We start from the raw sequence: 765 nt of genomic DNA, 5'->3' as shown, positions 1-765 counted from the left end.
TTTCTGAATTTTACTAAGACATTGATCCTGCCTCCTGTCTTTACTTGAATCAGAGTATGAATCCTTGGCATTAATAAATAGGTGTGATGAAGGCTGTGTCTGGAGATGAAAACTGAGTCTGAGAAGATAGAGAGGAGAAAAGGATGGGGACAATGAGTGAAGGGTTCTCAGACTCATGCCTGCAATGTAGGAGTAAAAACCCCTGTTTTGGGGGAAAGGTCATAGGTAATGAGTTCCTCATTTTGTCTTAAATCCTGGTCTTTTAGGAAAGAAAATCCCTGAAGCAAAGGTAAGATCTGGTAATACTTCCTCTGATGTGAGCTGGGTGAGAGGACTCCGTGTTTCAGAGCTTCTCAAACTTTACGTGAACAAGAATCCTTTGGAAGATCTTATTTAAAATGCAGATTCTGATTAGTCAGGTCCAGGTGGGGTCTGAGTTTGCGCATTTCTAACAAGCTTCCTGGTGATGTGGATGCCGCTAGTCTGAAAACCACACTTTGAGATGCAAGGCTTCATTGACATGCACCTGGGGCCCCAGTTCTCAACCTTGGCTTCTCATTAGAATCACTTGGGAAACTTTCAAAACACTAATGCTCAGGCTGAACCCTAGACCTATTATTAAACTAGAAATCTATAGTATGGGACTCACACATTAGTAATTTTGAAAGCTTTTTGAGTGACTCCCATGTGCAGCTGTCTGGGCTGAGGGAGATGTGAAGAAAGCAAGAATCAGTTCTCAAAGGTTGGTGCCAGGCCCATCAGTGT

The 765-nt window shown here is 42.7% G+C and overlaps 1 annotated feature.

Moving 5' to 3' along the window:
* Positions 445-494: a silencer, noted in NCBI's record as "silent region_14154". NCBI's record gives its function as "represses an Ori minimal core promoter by ATAC-STARR-seq in GM12878 lymphoblastoid cells {active_cell/tissue: GM12878}" and the evidence as "EXISTENCE:reporter gene assay evidence [ECO:0000049][PMID:35858748]".

This window comes from Homo sapiens, chromosome 3 (assembly GCF_000001405.40).
Source record: "Homo sapiens chromosome 3, GRCh38.p14 Primary Assembly".
NCBI lineage: Eukaryota > Metazoa > Chordata > Mammalia > Primates > Hominidae > Homo > Homo sapiens.
The sequence above is the reverse complement of the archived record's forward strand: the minus strand, read 5'-3'. Positions and strand labels throughout refer to the sequence as shown.